A 17970-nucleotide genomic window follows, 5' to 3' on the forward strand; every position below is an offset into this window, starting at 1 on the left:
GGTGTGGGTCGGTTTGTGTGTGTGGGAGTGCATGTTTCAGGGACACAGGCTATTCAAACCAGCACAAGTTGACTCTAATAAGGGAAGGGAGGAAAGCGCATGGTAAACCAGGAAGACGCTCTAGAGATGAGGCTTCCGGCACCCCTCATGGCCTCTTGGTGCCTGTGCCATTGTAGCCTTCGGTGCTCATGCATGTCCTACCCTCAGGGTCCTCCCTTGGACCTCAGTGCCTGGCCTGTGGAAAGCTTCAGTAAATGGGGAAACATAAATATAAGGGAATATAACTAGCTAATTAGGGTAATTAAGTGAGGAGTAGCCATTTCCAACATACATTAAGCTGTCCCTGATTTTTAGGGGCTGGAGGTCTAGTGAGAGAGACAATTTGCTGCATGATGGGGAAGAAGTAGGATTCACAGAGAAGGTGAGTTTGGCTTTGTAGGTTAAGTAGAAATTCACCAGGCAGAGAAGATGTAGGAAGACACTTCAGGAAGAAGAGCAACAGGATCAAAGCCATGTGGTGAAAGGAGAAGGCAAGTGGGTCAGCAATGCTACTAGAGGGGGAGGAGAACAAGTCAAGGTGGAAATGGAGGGGCCTTAGCTCCTCAGTGCCTGGGGTGTCATGCTAAGAAATTTGGATCTTACCCTTTAGTTGATAGGACAAGGGAGGGGCATGACCAGGTTTGCAGTTTGAGAAAATTATCAGGCTGATATCTGGAAAGAGGAAGGTCTGGGGCAGCGAGACCAATGGGAGGCTTCTCTGCTCAGGTGAGAGATGGTGGTCATCTGGATTAGGGAGAATTTGAACCCAAGGCTGTAGAAACTGAGAAGACAGTTCCAGTTTACCATATGTGGAGTACCTGCTGTGGCTGGCAGGGCACCAGCACTTCTACCCAGGTTATTTCATTAAAATTCTAAAGTAGACCTGGTCAGCTCTGGAAGCCACCTGGGCCTCAGGCATGAGAGAGGAGAAGGAATTGGGGCAAATCTAGTGGGTGGGTGCAGCTGGAGATGCTGAGCCTGTTACCAAAGATGGGACAGGAAAGTGGGGAGCAGGGAAAGGAGTGGAAGGGAGAGTGAGGCCTTTCCCTGCCTGGCTGAAGCCCTTACCCATAAGCCTCCCATTCCTCATTCCTGCCAGATCTGCTGGACCCAGGACCAGGACCCTGGTTGGTGTTAAAGGTTCTGTCTCCCCTGTGGGCCTCCCTCCCTCTGCTTCTTCCTTCTGAGGATTGCTCAGTGTTCTGCCTAACCATAAATCTGACGGCATACTCTCCTGCTGATAAATCTTCAAGGATGCCTCTGATTCTGGGCAAAGCCTGAGCTTCTTAGTTTTATGTTCTGGGGGTCTGCATTCTTTGATATCCCCTCCCCAGCTTCAACTCTGCCTTTTCCTCCTCATCAAAGTACATGTATTTTAATATGCTACCTCCTCTCCTTTTCCTCCAAGATTTTCATAATTGTGGTTGTGATGATGATGATGATGGTGAGGATGGTGATGGTGAAGGTGGTGATAATGATAGTGATAGTTAAGTTGAGGATGATGGTGAGGATGGTGAAGGTGGTGATAATGATAGTGATAGTTAAGTTGAGGATGATGGTGAGGATAGTGATGGTGATAATGATGGTGATGGTGAGGAAGATGACGGTGAAGGTGGTGATAATGATAGTGATAGTTATGCTGAGGATGATGGTGATGATGATGATGATGCTGAGAATGGTGAAGGTGAGTATGGTGATGGTGATGATAAGGATGGTGATGGTGAGGTGATAATAATGGTGATGGTCTGGATGGTGATGGTGAAAATGGTGACGGTGATAATGATGATGATGGTGATGGTGAGGATGGTGATGGTGGAGTTGGGGATGATAGTGATAATTATGGTGAGGATGCTGCTGCTGATGCTGGTGAGAATGGTGAGGGTGAGACTGATGATGATAATGAGGATGGTGATGGTGAGTATGGGGATGGTGATGATGCACCCCTTGATTTGGCAATTCGACATCTGAGAATTGTTCATTTCTTCTAGGGTTTTTTTTGAGTCAAGACTTCCCTACGTTACCCAGGCAGGCCATGAACTACTGGCCACTAGTGATCTTCCCACTTTGGCCTCCTGAGTAGCTGTGATTACAGGCATGAACAGTGGTGCCTGGTTTTATCTTAGGAATTTATCCTGAGGATATAATCAGACAAGTGTGCCAAGCGGTACTTAGAGAAGGGTATTTATTGTTGCATTGATGATAGTAGGTAAGATGTGGGAAGAATGTAAATGTCCAGCAATAAGAGATTGGCCAAATAATTGTGCTACAGCTAGGCAAGGGGCTGGCTTATGGCCATTCAGGACACAGACCCTCCTGATTGAGTCAAACCTCCTGTCACTGCTCTCACACACCTCCCTCCTTTTCAGCACAAATTACCATCATAATTTTACATTTCTTTGTGAACCTCTTTGATGACTTTCTGTATCCCTCATTAGTTGCCAAGCTCCATGGAGGCAAGGAGTATACTATGCTCATTATTGTGTCTTCCGTACCAAGTTAAGTTCCTGGAACACAGTACACTCTCAATAATTTGTTGTTAAATGAATGACTGAGTCCATATTTCTTAGTATGGAAAGATGTTTGAAATATGCAATTAAGAGAAAGAGCAGATTATAAAACAGCATGCATGCTGTAGTACACACTGCAAATTCCCTCCTTTCTTGATCTTCTTTGGGGGACCAAATGTGCACTCTCAGTCAATAAATTATGATTGCCCCTTGCCTAGCTGTAGCACAAAGTCAATCATGACAATGCTATTCTCTGATGCTAGGGTTGGTCATGAGATCAGGTTCTGGCCAATCTAAACACAGATTTCCAGACCTAAAGAGAAATCCTCTGGTGGTCACCTCAGAAGTTCTTGCTTTTCTAATAAAAATGTAGAAGTGACTGCTTTTGCTGGCCTTGGAAACACTTGTAGTGGTTGGAGCTGCAGCAACCATCTTACAGCCATGAGCTAAATTCCAATAGACTCACAAAGATGCTGGGCCTAACATTGTTGAACCAGTGCACCATAGCCAGGGACCATAGATACTCTAACTATGTAAGAAAAATGAACCTGTATTTGTTTAGGTGACTGAACTTTCAGATTAACGCACTCCCAACAGATACAGAGCATGATCCCATATATACCTGTATGTGCAAGTATGAATAGAAAAATAATTAAAGTGATTATCTCTGTGTGGTAGGATTCTCCTTCATATTTTTTATTTTATAAAGTTTTCCCAAACGGCGTGTAAATAATAATCAAACACATATTTCTGTACATTCAGAAAATAAACAATGGTACTAATTTTATTTTTTAAAAATAAACAAAATATTGGGGCTCCAGAAGGTAGTTCACTACCATATGATAAGTTAATTAGCCACAACCGAGAAGAACACTTGTGGGTTTCCTGGATGACAGGTTCGGCAGCAGTGAGAGGTCCCCTCCAGAACAGTATGTGGTTCCAAACTCCTGAGGGCAGCGGGGCAGACCCCAGGGAAGTAGATGAGAAGCTGAGTGAGGCTCTGTGGGGAGAGAGGATGTTCCTCAGCCCTCACAAGGACATGTCAGTTTCACTTGAGATTAGGCCCTGGCCTTGGCTGGGCAGCATGCTAGGCAGGTTCTCAGCAGCATGGGGTGATAACAGGACGAGGGGAAGCCTGGCATGCTGGGGCAGCTCTGGGGTCCTCAGGTGGGGCTGTCTCGGGCAGCAACTCTGTTGGCTGTAAACACAGATTTCTAGGAGGCAGAGCATTGCAATCTCTCCCACCATAAACCTGGACCATCAGGGACGTTTCCATAGCAGCATCAACACCAGTGAGGAATCGGGACGCAATCTGTAATCCCCTATCCCACTTTTCCTTTTCTCTTAGAATGGGACAGAGCAGCCTCGAGCAGCTAGTGTCCTGTAGTGACTCCAGTTTGCTGCTCTCTTCCTTATCTTCTTCCTCCTGCCCTCTGCCTCCTCTGCATTCTTCACCTTCTACATCAGGAAGCTCAAGTCACCAAGCTAAGCCTGGGCTTCTCATCTAAATCACGGAGTGCCAGTCAATGCCTCCCTTCCTCTTCCCAGGGAGCAACTTCAATCTTCCCTGCTTGCAGTGAGGAGCTAGACCCTACTCCTTTTTCCCTGTGGGACCATCCACAGCCTGTTTCCTCACCCCTGTAATGGGACTGCAGTCCTCCCTGCCCATCTGGCAGTGCTAATTCCAGGCCAGGGGCCCTCCTGGGAAAATCACCAGTGTGGGTGATATGGTGAGTGTTTGTGTGTGTGGAGGGGTGGGGCTGCCCTCTGACCATTTACAGACCCTGTCCTTCCTCTCTCCCCATGCTTGTCGCATGTCAGGAATCCCTCTCCTTTGTGCCATGAAATAGAAGGCATTTTCAGATCCATCATCTCATTGAGACTTGCATCTCCTTGGTGAAGTTGGAGTTATTGTCACCATTTTACTGATGAGTAAAATGAGTCTCAGAAAGGGGAAAGTCGTTGCCCAGGGTTCCGCTGTGGACTTATAGTGGAGCTGGGATTAGGATGCGTGTTCTGGATTCCTGGCGGGGTCCTGGCCCATTTGCAGCTAAGGCCTGTCTTTCTGCTCCCATGAGGTCCCTTTTCCATTCCTTTCCTCCCCATGACAACCACTGTCACCACCACCCAGAGCCTGTGCTCACTGTCACACCACCCTTCGCTGACCCCTGCATCTTGGTTGGATCCCACCATGTCCATCAGACAGATTTTCCTCAATGGTGGTTGGGCTCCAAATCTACCCTCCCCAGACTGACACAAATTGCACTACAGGGGGCCCCAACTGTAGGCGTTTCTGGTCTAGAGAGGGAGATGGTCCCGTAGAAATGTCAACATCACTTGGTAGAGGAGAGTGGAAGCACAGGAGAAAGTTCAGGAAGTGACATCAGGAGGAGGTGGCCCTTGAGTTGGGTCTTGAGGGATGTGTAAGAGTTACCAGGTGAGGAATGCTGGGAAGGGAATTCCAGGAGGAAAGAGCAGCATTCTCCAAGGCTCAGACTGGTGTGGTCACTGCAGGGTAGAGCTAGGTGACCTGGACCCCTTGAGACAGTGCTCCCCTTTTAGGAGGACATCTGCAGTTCCCATACTTTGGGCTGTCTCAGAATCCCCCAGAGATCTTGGGAAATTCCTGGGTCCAGTTCCCAGGGATTCTGGTCCAGGCAGAGGAATCTGCACTTCTCACAGGCAGGGGCTGTGACCTCGCCCCACAGTTCTGATGCAGTTGGTCCCCGGATCACTCTTGGAGAAATACAAGCAGGACTGAGAGGCTTTGACCCAAGCACTGTGCAGGGGGTGGGATGGGGATAGATGTGGAATGGGCCAGAGGAATAGTGGTTAGATCTATACCCTCCTGTATGACCCTGTCTAAAATATGGCTCTCCCATCCCCCTCTCCCACTGACACATTCTATCCTCCTTCACTTTTCCTTTATTTTATTTTACTTTTTGTAGATACAGGGTCTCCCTATGTTATCCAGACAGGTCTCAAATTCCTGACCTCAACCATCCTCACATCTCGGCCTCCCAAAGCACTAGGATTACAGGCATGAAGCATCATGCTCTCGTCACCAACTCACATGCTGACCATTTGACTAGTTCAGTTATTACCTGTTTTACTCTATTAGCATGAGGGCTACATGAGGAAAGGGACTTTATGTATGTCATTCACTGCTGTAGCCAAGCATCTACAATGTGTGAGTTCATGGAAGCTTTTTATGTTTTGGTTTGTAATTTTAATTTTGGGAAGCAGAAGATATCTGATTGGACTCAGTGGCTGACAGGAAAAGGAAGAACAGTCCTGGTGTGCACAAGAGTGACAGGGAGACCTAGATGGAGAGATGTCAGAGGACAGTTCCTGGAAGAGGCTGACGGAAAGGTAAGGCAACTGGGGAGGGTCTCTCTGGACATCAATTCCTTTGAAGCTGGCAGGGAGGGAGGAAGTGCATGGGTGGAGAGGAATGCCTGAAGAAGACCTCCTTGGCTTCCATATTCTTCATGAAGTGACAGGTGAGGGGTTTCCTTGGAAGAGAGGGTAGGAGGGGAACAAGTGTAGGCTGGTGATGGTGGGCCAGGAGCAGTGCCCCAGGGTGAAGGGGTGAATGCATTACTGAGGCTGGACTCTGGTCATGACCCTTGCCTTGGCCTCAAGATTCATTAAAAACCAGACTCCTCCAGTGAGCTTAGATCATGCCACTGCACTCCAGCCTGGAGACAGAGTGAGACTCCATCTCAAAAACAAAAACAAAAAACCAGCCTCCAGTCCCAATGTGCCCAGCTGGACCATGTGCTGCTTCCTGGATGTGCCACCATCACAACTGGAACACAAATCCTGAGTCACCGCCTCTAGAAAGCCTACCTGGATTGAGTGCCCATCTGAGTGGGCTCCTGCAGCACCTGGTCTGTCCCTACTATGTGACTTGCATCTGCCTGCCTCTTATCACAGGTGCCTGTGGTTTTACCTTCCTCAGTGTGGGCTGTTGAGGACTGGGCCAGGCTGATCCATCTTAGGGGCTACAGCAGGTGCCAGCAATGGCTGGGCTTTGTCAGGCCTGGGCAATAGGCAGGCCTGTTTCTCATGCTAGGCACTGGGTGCCCTTTGTGGGCCCAACTGGGCATGGCCACTGCTTCTGAGTGTCCCGAAGATTCCTGGGAGAGGCCTGGTTATCTTGGGCTGACCCTCACTCCCCAGTTCCTTCCTCCCTCTGTCCCTTGCCGAAACCCTTTTGCATGTCCTCAAAATCCTGCTCCAGCACCAGCAGCCCCCTGGTTTTCAGCAGCCTCAGGGAACTCTTCCTTTTGTTCCTTGCTGTGAGTAAGAGGCCCAATCCCCTGAGGACACTGCTCCCTTGCTGTCCTCTGCTGCAGCCCTTCCCTGGGCCTGAGCAGGGTAGATCCTCCTTGCTTCTCATTGCCTCCCTCTTTCAGCTCATCATACTTCTCTCCCATATAAAGACATTCATGTGCCACGAAATGATGTTTCGGTCAACATAGACCACATGTGCAATGGTGGACCCATGAAACTATAATGGAGCTGAAAGACACCTACTGCTTAGCCCAGTGACATAACAAGTGTAATATTATGGCAGAGTTACTTTAAAAATATATTTATTAAAAAAGATTTATAATACTATAGAAAAAGAAATATATATCTCGTAGTGTAGCCTAAGCTTCCAGTGTTTATAAAATCTATAATAGTGCACAGTCATGCCCTATGACTTCACCTTCACTCACCACTCACTGATTCACCCAGAGAAGTTTCCAGCCCTGCACGTTGCATCAATCATAAGTGTCCTAGACCAGTGCACCATGTCTAGGTACCATACTATATTTTTATATAGTGCAATACTCTGTTTTTACTGTACCTTTCATGATATGTTTAGATGTACAAGTACTGACAATTGTGCTACAACTGCCAACAGTATTCACTGCAGTAAACTGTGCCCAGGTGTGCAGCCTGAGAGCAGTAGGCTGTGCCATAGAGCCTAGGTGTGCGGTAGGTACAATATTCAGATGTGTGTAAGCACACTCTGTGAAGTTTGCACAAAGAAAATTTACCAAAGGAGATGGTGACACATGAAGGGAATCAATATTGAAGCTCTTGCTCTCAGATTGCACCCAGGACCACATCCCTATTCACTGAAGACTTAGCTCCCAGTTCATGGGCACTTTCTCCTGTGGGGAGGATGCCAACATGCACATACAGAGCCCTTCTCATGCTCTGGCTCTTGGTCCCTCCACCTCTAGAGACATTGTCTGCACCCTCCCTGAGTCACCCACTCCTACCTGTATATTCTTGACCATATCACTGCAGAAACTGTAGCTACTCCAGACCCTGAATTTAAAACACCATTTTTTTGACCAACCACTTTCCTTTTTCCAGCTGCCTCCCAACTCCAACACACTTCAATGACTCCAAATTTTCACTTTGTGTCTTACTCACCTTCTTTCAAATTTCCCCTCCTCCCAGCTGAGACTATATGGTCCAGCCTGTCATCCATCCTCTTAACACTCTCCACTCTCTTGCCCCACTATTGATTGTACTCCCAGGGCAAAACCACACTCCCCTGAAACCCAGCCACACACTCCCTCTGCTCCTGCACTCAGGTGGCTGAGCACAGCCAGAGAGAAACACACGTGCCTTCTGGTCTCAATTAATCATCAAGCCCAAACATCCAGTGGACCATGGATGCTGTCCTAAAAAACTCACTCATCTCCTGAGTCCTTAAGTCTTTATTTGTTATTTTAATAAAAACATACGTAATATGTGTAAAATATTCTGCATATATGATTATATATGTAATTGTATAGATATAATTCACATAATTATATAAAAATGTATATCATATTCTTCACATAAAAACTAGACAGAAGGTTTCTGAGAAACTTCTTCGTGATGTGCACATTAATCAAATAGATTTGAACCATTCTTTTTATTCAGCAGTTTGGAAACAGACTTTTTGTAGAATCTGCAAAGAGATATTTGTGAGTGCTTTGAGACCTATGGTGAAAAAGGAAATGTCTTCACATAAAAACTAGAAAGAAGCTTTCTGAGAAGCTTCTTTGTGATGAGTGCATTCACCTCACAGAGTTGAACCATTCTTTTGCTTGAGCAGTTTGGAAACAGTCTTTTTGTTGAATCTGCAAGAGGATATTTGTGAGGCCTTTGAGGCCTATTGTTGAAAAAGGAACTATCTTCACATAAAAACTAGACAGAAAGTTTCTTTTTTTGTTGTTTCTTTAGTGCCCTTTATTATAAATCCCTTCTTTTTTTAGTTTTGTGACATTGGTTTTTTTTTTAAGAAGACAAGTTGGTTTTTTGTAGAATGTCCCTAAATTTCTATTTGCTTGTTTCCTCATGCTTAGATTTTGGGAAGAGTACTAACTAGGTGATGTTTAGTTGCTCCCCTTTAAATGACATGTTTTTAAGTCAATAAAATAAAACAAGCAATACCACAATGCTATCTCCTCCATCTTAGAGACCCATCCTAGCATTTCATCATAGTCATTCAGTAAAATATTCTTCCCTTAGGGTTGGATTTCAGCATGTGGTAGATCTTGATGAACTCTCCCTGGTTCACTGGAGCTCCAGAACCAGGAAATATAATTAGAAATGTTATTAGAGATAAAAAAGCCTAAGTTGATAGATTTTTCTATTTTGAGACCACAAAGAGACTTCTGACATAGTATTTTACAGTGAATACCAGGCTACTGAGCTCCTCTGTCTACTGTCTAAATTATTTTTGTTTTTAATTGGAAAAATTAACACATACATATAAGAAAACAAGTAAAACAATCCCATGCATACAATAAAATTAAATCTTCATCTTAATCCAAATCCTCCCAATTCCACAACCCAGAGAACCAATGTTAGCAGTTTCTTGTGTATCTGTTAAAATACTGTTTACAAGCATATTACATACAGCTCTCCATCTTGCTAGTTAATGGTGGAGATCTTTCTAAGTTAGCACAAATATATTTACATCTTTCTCTTTAGCCAATATTCCATAGACTCAAACATATTCAAATCAGCCATATTGATTCAAATTATGAATCAACCATAATTTACTTAAATGATCTCCAATTGATAGGCATATTTTGCTATTGCTGTAATGAAGGCAGAAATAAAGATGTTCTTTGAAACCAACGAGAACAAAGACACAACATACCAGAATCTCTGGGACGCATTCAAAGCAGTGTGTAGAGGGAAATTTATAGCACTACATGCCCACAAGAGAAAGCAGGAAAGATCCAAAATTGGCACCCTAACATCACAATTAAAAGAACTACAAAAGCAAGAGCAAACACATTCAAAAGCTAGCAGAAGGCAAGAAATAACTAAAATCAGAGCAGAACTGAAGGAAATAGAGACACAAAAAACCCTTCAAAAAATTAATGAATCCAGGAGCTGGTTTTTTGAAAAGATCAACAAAATTGATAGACCACTAGCAAGACTAATAAAGAAAAAAAGAGAGAAGAATCAAATAGATGCAATAAAAAATGATAAAGGGGATATCACCACCGATCCCACAGAAATACAAACTACCATCAGAGAATACTACAAACACCTCTACACAAATAAACTAGAAAATCTAGAAGAAGTGGATAAATTCCTAGACACATACACTCTCCCAAGACTAAACCAGGAAGAAGTTGAATCTCTGAATAGACCAATAACAGGATATGAAATTGTGGCAATAATTAATAGCTTACCAACCAAAAAGAGTCCAGGACCAGATGGATTCACAGCCGAATTCTTCCAGAGGTACAAGGAGGAACCGGTACCATTCCTTCTGAAATTTTTCCAATCAAAAGAAAAAGAGGGAATCCTCCCTAACTCATTTTATGAGGCCAGCATCATTCTGATACCAAAGCCAGGCAGAGACACAACCAAAAAAGAGAATTTTAGACCAATATCCTTGATGAACATTGATGCAAAAATCCTCAATAAAATACTGGCAAAACGAATCCAGCAGCACATCAAAAAGCTTATCCACCATGATCAAGTGGGCTTCATCCCTGGGATGCAAGGCTGGTTCAATATACGCAAATCAATAAATGTAATCCAGCATATAAACAGAGCCAAAGACAAAAACCACATGATTATCTCAATAGATGCAGAAAAGGCCTTAGAAAAAATTCAACAATGCTTCATGCTAAAAACTCTCAATAAATTAGGTATTGATGGGACGTATTTCAAAATAATAAGAGCTATCTATGACAAACCCACAGCCAATATCATACTGAATGGGCAAAAACTGGAAGCATTCCCTTTGAAAACTGGCACAAGACAGGGATGCCCTCTCTCACCACTCCTATTCAACATAGTGTTGGAAGTTCTGGCCAGGGCAATTAAGCAGGAGAAGGAAATAAAGGGTATTCAATTAGGAAAAGGGGAAGTCAAATTGTCCCTCTTTGCAGACGACATGATTGTTTATCTAGAAAACCCCATTGTCTCAGCCCAAAATATCCTTAAGCTGACAGAAAGTTTCTGAGAAACAGATTTGAGATTTCTGCATTCACCTCACAGAGTCAAACACTTCTTCTCCTGGAGCAGATTGGAAATTCTGTTCTTGTAGAATCTGCAATGGTTTATTTGTCAGTGCTTTGAGGCCTATGGTGAAAAAGGAAATATCTTCACATAAGAACTAGAACGATGCTTTCTGAAAAAAATTCCTTGTGATGTGTGCATTCATCTAAAAGAGTTGAACTCTTCTTTTCACTGAGCAGTTTAGAAACAGTCTTTTTGTGGAATCCAAACAGGGATGTTTTTGAGCGATTTGAGGCCTATGATGAAATAGGAAATATCTTCACTTAAAAACTAAACAGAAGGTTTCTGACAAACAGCTTTGTGATGTGTGCATTCATCTCACAGAGGTAAACGTTTCTTTTCATTGAGCAGATTGGAAAATCTGTTCTTGTAGAATCCGCAAAGGGATATTTGTGAGTGCTTTGAGACCTATTGTGGAAAAGGAAATATCTCCACATAAAAACTAGACAGAAGTTTTCTGAGAACGTTCTTTTTGATATGGATATTCAGGTCACAGTGTTGAAATTTCTTTTGATTGAGCAGTTTAGAAAGAGTGTTTTTGTAGAGTTTGAAAAGGGATATTTTTGAGCGCACTGAGGCCTAAGGTGAAAAAGGAAATATATTCTACTAAAAACTAGACAGAAGCTTTCTGAGAAACTTCTTTGTGATTTGTGCATTAATCTCACAGAGTTGAACCTTTGCAAAGGGATATTGGTGAGCGATTTGAGTCCTGTGGTGAAAAAGTAAGTATCTTCATATGAAAACTGGACAGAGGATTTCTGAGAAACATGTTTGTGATGTTTGCATTCATCTCACGAGCTGAACCTTTCTTAAGATTGAGCACTTTGGAAACAGTCTTTTTACAGAATCTGCAAAGGGATATTTGTGAGTGGTTTGAGGCCTATGGTGAAAATAGAAATATCTTCACATTAAAACTAGACAAAATCTTTCTGAGAAACTTCTTTGTGATGTGTGCATTCATCTCACAGAGCTCAACCTTTCTACTGATTGAGCAGTTTGGATACAGTCTTTTTGTGGAATCTGCAATGGATAAATGTGAGCGCTTTGAGGCCTATGATGAAAAAGGAAATATCTTCACATAAAAACTAGACAGAAGATTTCTGAGAAACTTATTTGTGATGTGTGCATTCATCGCACAGAGTTGAACCTTCCTTTTTATTGAACAGTTTGTAAACAGTCTTTTTGTAGAATCTGCAAAGGCATATTTGTGAGCACTTTGAGGCCTATGCTGAAAAATATCTTCACATAAAAACTAGACAGAAGACTTCTGAGAAACTTCTTTATGATGTGCGCTTTCATTTCTCAGAGTTGAACTTTTCTGTTGATTGAGCAGTTTGCAAACAGTCTTTTTGTAGAATCTGCAAAGGGATATTTGTGAGCCCTTTGAGGCCTATTGTTGAAAAGGAAATATCTTCACATAAAAAGTAGACAGAATGTTTCTGAGAAACTGCTTTGTGATGTGTGCATTCATCTCACAGAAGTAAACGTTTCTTTTCATTGAGCAGATTGGATACTCTGTTCTTGTAGAATCTGCAAAGGGATATTTGTGAGCCCTTTGAGGCCTATTGTTGAAAAGGAAATATCTTCACATAAAAAGTAGACAGAATGTTTCTGAGAAACTGCTTTGTGATGTGTGCATTCATCTCACAGAAGTAAACGTTTCTTTTCATTGAGCAGATTGGATACTCTGTTCTTGTAGAATCTGCAAAGGGATATTTGTGAGCGATTTAAGGCCTATGGTGAAAAAGGAAATGTCTTCTCATAAAATTTAGACAGAAGCTTTCTGAGAAACTATTGGTGATGTGTGCATTCATCTCAAAGAGCTGAATCTTTCTTTTGAGTGAGCATTTTGGAAAAAGTCTTTTGGTAGTATCTGCAGAGGGATATTGCAAGTGCTTTGAGGCCTATGGTGAAAAAGGAAATATCTTCACATAAAAACCAGACAGAAGCTTTCTGAGAAACTTCTTTGTGATGTGTGCATTCATCTCAAAGAGTTGAATCTTTCTTTTGAGTGAGCATTTTGGAAAAAGTCTTTTGGTAGTATCTGCAGAGGGATATTGTGAGCGCTTTGAGGCCTATGGTGAAAAAGGAAATATCTTCACATAAAAACCAGACAGGAGCTTTCTGAGAAACTTCTTTGTGATGTGTGCATTTATCCCACAGAGGTAATGCTTTCTTTCCATTGAGCAGATTGGAAACTCTATTCTTGTAGAATCTGCAAAGTGGTATTTGTGAGCCCTTTGAGGCCTACGGTGAAAAAGGAAATATCTTCACATAAAAACTAGACAGAAAGTTTCTGGGAAACTACTTTGCGATGTGTGCATTCATCTCACAGATGTAAATGTATCTTTTCATTGAGCAGACTGGAAACTCCATTCTTGTAGAATCTGCAAAGGGATATTTGTGAGCTCCTTGAGGCCTAAGATGAAAAAGGAAATATCTTCACGTAAAAACTAGAGAGAAGCACGCTGAGAAAGTTCTTTGTAATGTGTGCATTCATCTCACAGAGTTGACATTTTCTTTTGATTGAGCAGTTTGGAAACAGTCTTTTTGTGGATTCTGCAAATGGATATTCGGAGTGCTTTGAGGCCTATGTTGAAAAAGGTAATAGCTTCAGGTAAAAAACAGGTAGAAGCTTTCTGCGAAACTTCTTTGTGATGTGTACATTCATCTCACAGAGTTGGAAATTTCTTTTGATTGAGCCCTTTGGAAACAGTCTTTTTGTAGAATCTGCAAAGGCATATTTGTGAGTGCTTTGGGGCCTATGGTGAAAGACCAAATATCTTCACACAAGAACTAGACTGAATTTTCTGAGAAACATCTTCGTGATGTGTGCATTCACCTCACAGAGTAGAATCTTTCTTTTGATTCAGCAGTTTGGAAACAGTCTTTTTGTAGATTTTGCAAAGGGATATTTGTGAACCCATTGAGGCCTATGGTGAAAAAGGAAATATCTTCACATAAAAACTAGACAGAAGCTTTCTGAGAAACTGCTTTGTGATGTGTGCATACATCTCACAGAGTTGAAACTTTCTTTTGATTGAGCAGTTTGGAAGCGTCTTTTTGTAGAATCTTCAATGGGATATTTGTGAGCCCTTGGAGGCCTATGGTGAAAAAGGATATATATTCACATAAAAACTAGACAGAAGTTTTCTGAGAAACTGATTTGTGATGTGTGCATTCATCTCACAGAGGTAAATGACTCTTTTCATTGCACAGATTGGAAACTCTCTTCTTGTAGAATCTACAAAGGGATATTTGTGAGTGTTCTTAGGCCTATGGTGAAAAAGGAAATACCTTCACATAAAAACTAGACAGAACATTTCTGAGAAACTTCTTTGTGATGTGTGCATTCATCTCACAAATTTGAGCCTTGTTTTTGATTGAGTAGTTTTGAAATGTATTTTTTTTAGAATCTGCAAAGGGATAATTGTGAGCACTTTGAGGCTTATGGTGAAAAAGGAAATATCTTCACATAAAGAGTAGAGAGAAGCTTTCTGAGAAACTTCTTTATTATGTGTCCATTCATCTCACAGAGATGAAAGTTACTTTTGATTGAGCGGTTTGCAAACAGTCTTTTTGTAGTATCTGCAAGGGGATATTTGTGAGCACCTTGAGGCCTATGGAGAAATCGGAAATATCTTCACATGAAAACGAGACAGAAGCTTTCAGAGAAACTTCCTTGTGATGTGTGCATTCATCTTACAGAGTTGAACATTTCTTATGATTGAGCAGATTGGAAACAGTCTTTTTGTAGAATCTGCAAAGGGATATTTGTGAGCCCTTTGAGGCCTATGGTGAAAAAGGAAATATCTTCACGTGAGAACTAGACAGAAGCATTCTGAGAAACTTCTTTGTGATGTGTGCATTCATCTTACAGAGTTGAACATTTCTTATGATTGAGCAGATTGGAAACAGTCTTTTTGTAGAATCTGCAAAGGGATATTTGTGTGTGCTTTGAGGTCTATGGTGAAAAATGAAATATCTTCACATAAAAACTAGACAGAAGTTTTCTGAGAAACTGATTCATGGTGTGTGCATTCATCTCACGGAAATAAACGCTTCTTTTCAATGAACAGATTGGAAACTCTGTTCTTATACAATCTACAAAGTGATATTTGTGAGAGCTTTGAGGCCTACTGTGAAAAAGGAGATACATTCACATAAAAACTAGACAGAACATTTCTGAGAAACTTCTTTGTGAGGTGTCCATTCATCACAAAGAGTTGAAAATTTCATTTCATTGAGCAACTTCAAAACAGTCTTTTTGAAAAATCTGCAAAGAGATATTTGTGAGCGGTATGAGGCCATGGTGAAAAGGGAAATATCCTCACATTAAAACTAGACAGAAGCTTTTTTTTAAAAATAATTTCTCAGTCTTTATTTAATAAGAGTTCTGAAAGTATTACAAACATGGAGTAAGTCTTACTATGTTGAAGAGAAAGGAAAACTGTATAGATTGTAAAAAACCGTTTTTCTCTTTCCTTTAACAAAAGTGTGTATACATTTGCATGAATGCAGCTGTGGTGCAAAACTTAGATATAAGAGCTTTTGTTGCTATTTCTGGCACTGGATTTAATACTACTTTTCCACTCATGGGGAATTAATTAGCTGATGTAACTTCCTCAGGAAACACTAGATACTTGCTTGCCTACTTTTACAGACACAGAAAATTCTGGTTGGGACTCTGTCAGTCCCAATTACAGAGCTGTTAGAGAATTTATCTTTGTCATGTGAAATGTATCAAATTATTGTGTGAAACAAAATACTTGTTGTTTTTTGAAATTCATAGGGATTAATTTGAAAACAACATTTATATTTGTAAAACCAACACAGAATATGGAAGGGAAGTAAATATTCTTCAATGTAGAATATGTAAACTCTGTCTTTTTGAGCTGCTAATGAAAGAATGTATTATTAGGAAAAGTATCATACAGGATTTTAATGTGACACGTGGCTTACGCTGATTCTATCATAGTCTTTTATGCTAAGAAATGATGATTTAATAATATCTTCAAAGAAAGTAAGTAGAGTTGTCATTACCAAAATAAGTCAAGGCAATTGGCCATGTAAATTTAACATAATTTTGTTTCCACTTTATATGTTGTTCCACAACATAATTTTGTTTTCCACTTTAGCTGTACTTATTTTTTTCTTTTATTATTATTATACTTTAAGTTTTAGGGTTAGCATTAAATATTAAAGTATTATACTTTAATAAAAATATTATAGTATTATTACACTTTAATAAAAATATTAAAGTATAATATTATTACTATACTTAAAAATATTAAAGTATAATATTATTACCATACTTTAATAAAAATATTAAAGTGTAATATTATTATACTTTAAGTTTTAGGGTACATGTGCACAATGTGCAGGTTTGTTACATGTGTGTACATGTGCCATGTTAGTGTACTGCACCCATTAACTCATCATTTAGCATTAGGTATATCTCCGAATGCTATCCCTCCCCACTCTCCCCACCCCACAACAGTCCCCAGAGTGTGATGTTCCCCTTACTGTGTCCATGTGTTCTCATTGTTCAATTCCCACCTATGAGTGAGAACATGCAGTGTTTGGTTTTTCTGTCCTTGTGATAGTTGGCTGAGAATGATGATTTCCAGTTTCATCCATGTCCCTACAAAGGACATGAACTCATCATTTTCTATGGCTGCATAGTATTCCATGGTGTATATGTGACACATTTTCTTAATCCAGTCTATTGTTGTTGGACATTTGGGTTGGATCCAAGTCTTTGCTATTGTAAATAGTGCCACAATAAACATATGTGTGCATGTGTCTTTTTGGCAGCATGATTTATAGTCCTTTGGTTATATACCCAGTAATGGGATGGCTGGGTCAAATGGTATTTCTCATTCTAGATCCCTGAAGAATTGCCACACTGACTTCCACAATGGTTGAACTAATTTACAGTCCCACCAACAGTGTAAAAGTGTTCCTATTCCTCCACATCCTCTCCAGCACCTTTTGTTTCCTGACTTTTTAATGGTCACCATTCTAACTGGTGTGAGATGGTATCTAATTGTGGTTTTGATTTGCATTTCTCTGATGGCCAGTGATGATGAGCATTTTTTCATGTGTCTTTTGGCTACATAAATGTCTTCTTTTGAGAAATGTCTGTTCATATCCTTTGCCCACTTTTTGATGGGTTTTGTTTTCTTGTAAATTTGTTTGAGTTCATTGTAGATTCTAGATATTAGCCCTGTGTCAGATGAGTAGGTTGTGAAAATTTTCTCCCATTTTGTAGGTTGCCTGTTCACTCTGATGGTATTTCTTTTGATGTGCAGAAGCTCTTTAGTTTAATTAGATCCCATATGTCAATTTTGGCTTTTGTTGCCATTGCTTTTGGTGTTTTAGACATGAAGTCCTTGCCCATGCCTATGTCCTGAATGGTATTGTCTAGGTTTGCTTCTAGGGTTTTTATGGTTTTAGGTCTAACATGTAAGTCTTTAATCCATCTTGAATTAATTTTTGTATAAGTTGTAAGGAAAGGATCCAGTTTCAGCTTTCTACATATGGCCAGCCAGTTTTACCAGCATCATTTGTTAAATAGGGAATCCTTTCCCCATTTCTTGTTTTTGTCAGGTTTGTCAAAGATCAGATAGTTGTAGATATGCAGCATTATATCTGAGAGCTCTGTTCTGTTCCATTGATTTATGTCTCTGTTTTGGTTCCAGTAACATGCTGTTTTGGTTACTGTAGCCTTGTAGTATAGTTTGAAGTCAGGTAAGGTGATGCCTCCAGCTTTGTTCTTTTGGCTTAGGATTGACTTGGCGATGCAGGCTTTTTTTGGTTCCATATGAACTTTAAAGTAGTTTTTTTCCAATTCTGTGAAGAAAGTCATTGGTAGCTT

This window comes from Homo sapiens, chromosome 17, assembly GCF_000001405.40.
Source record: "Homo sapiens chromosome 17, GRCh38.p14 Primary Assembly".
NCBI classification, from domain to species: Eukaryota; Metazoa; Chordata; class Mammalia; order Primates; family Hominidae; genus Homo; species Homo sapiens.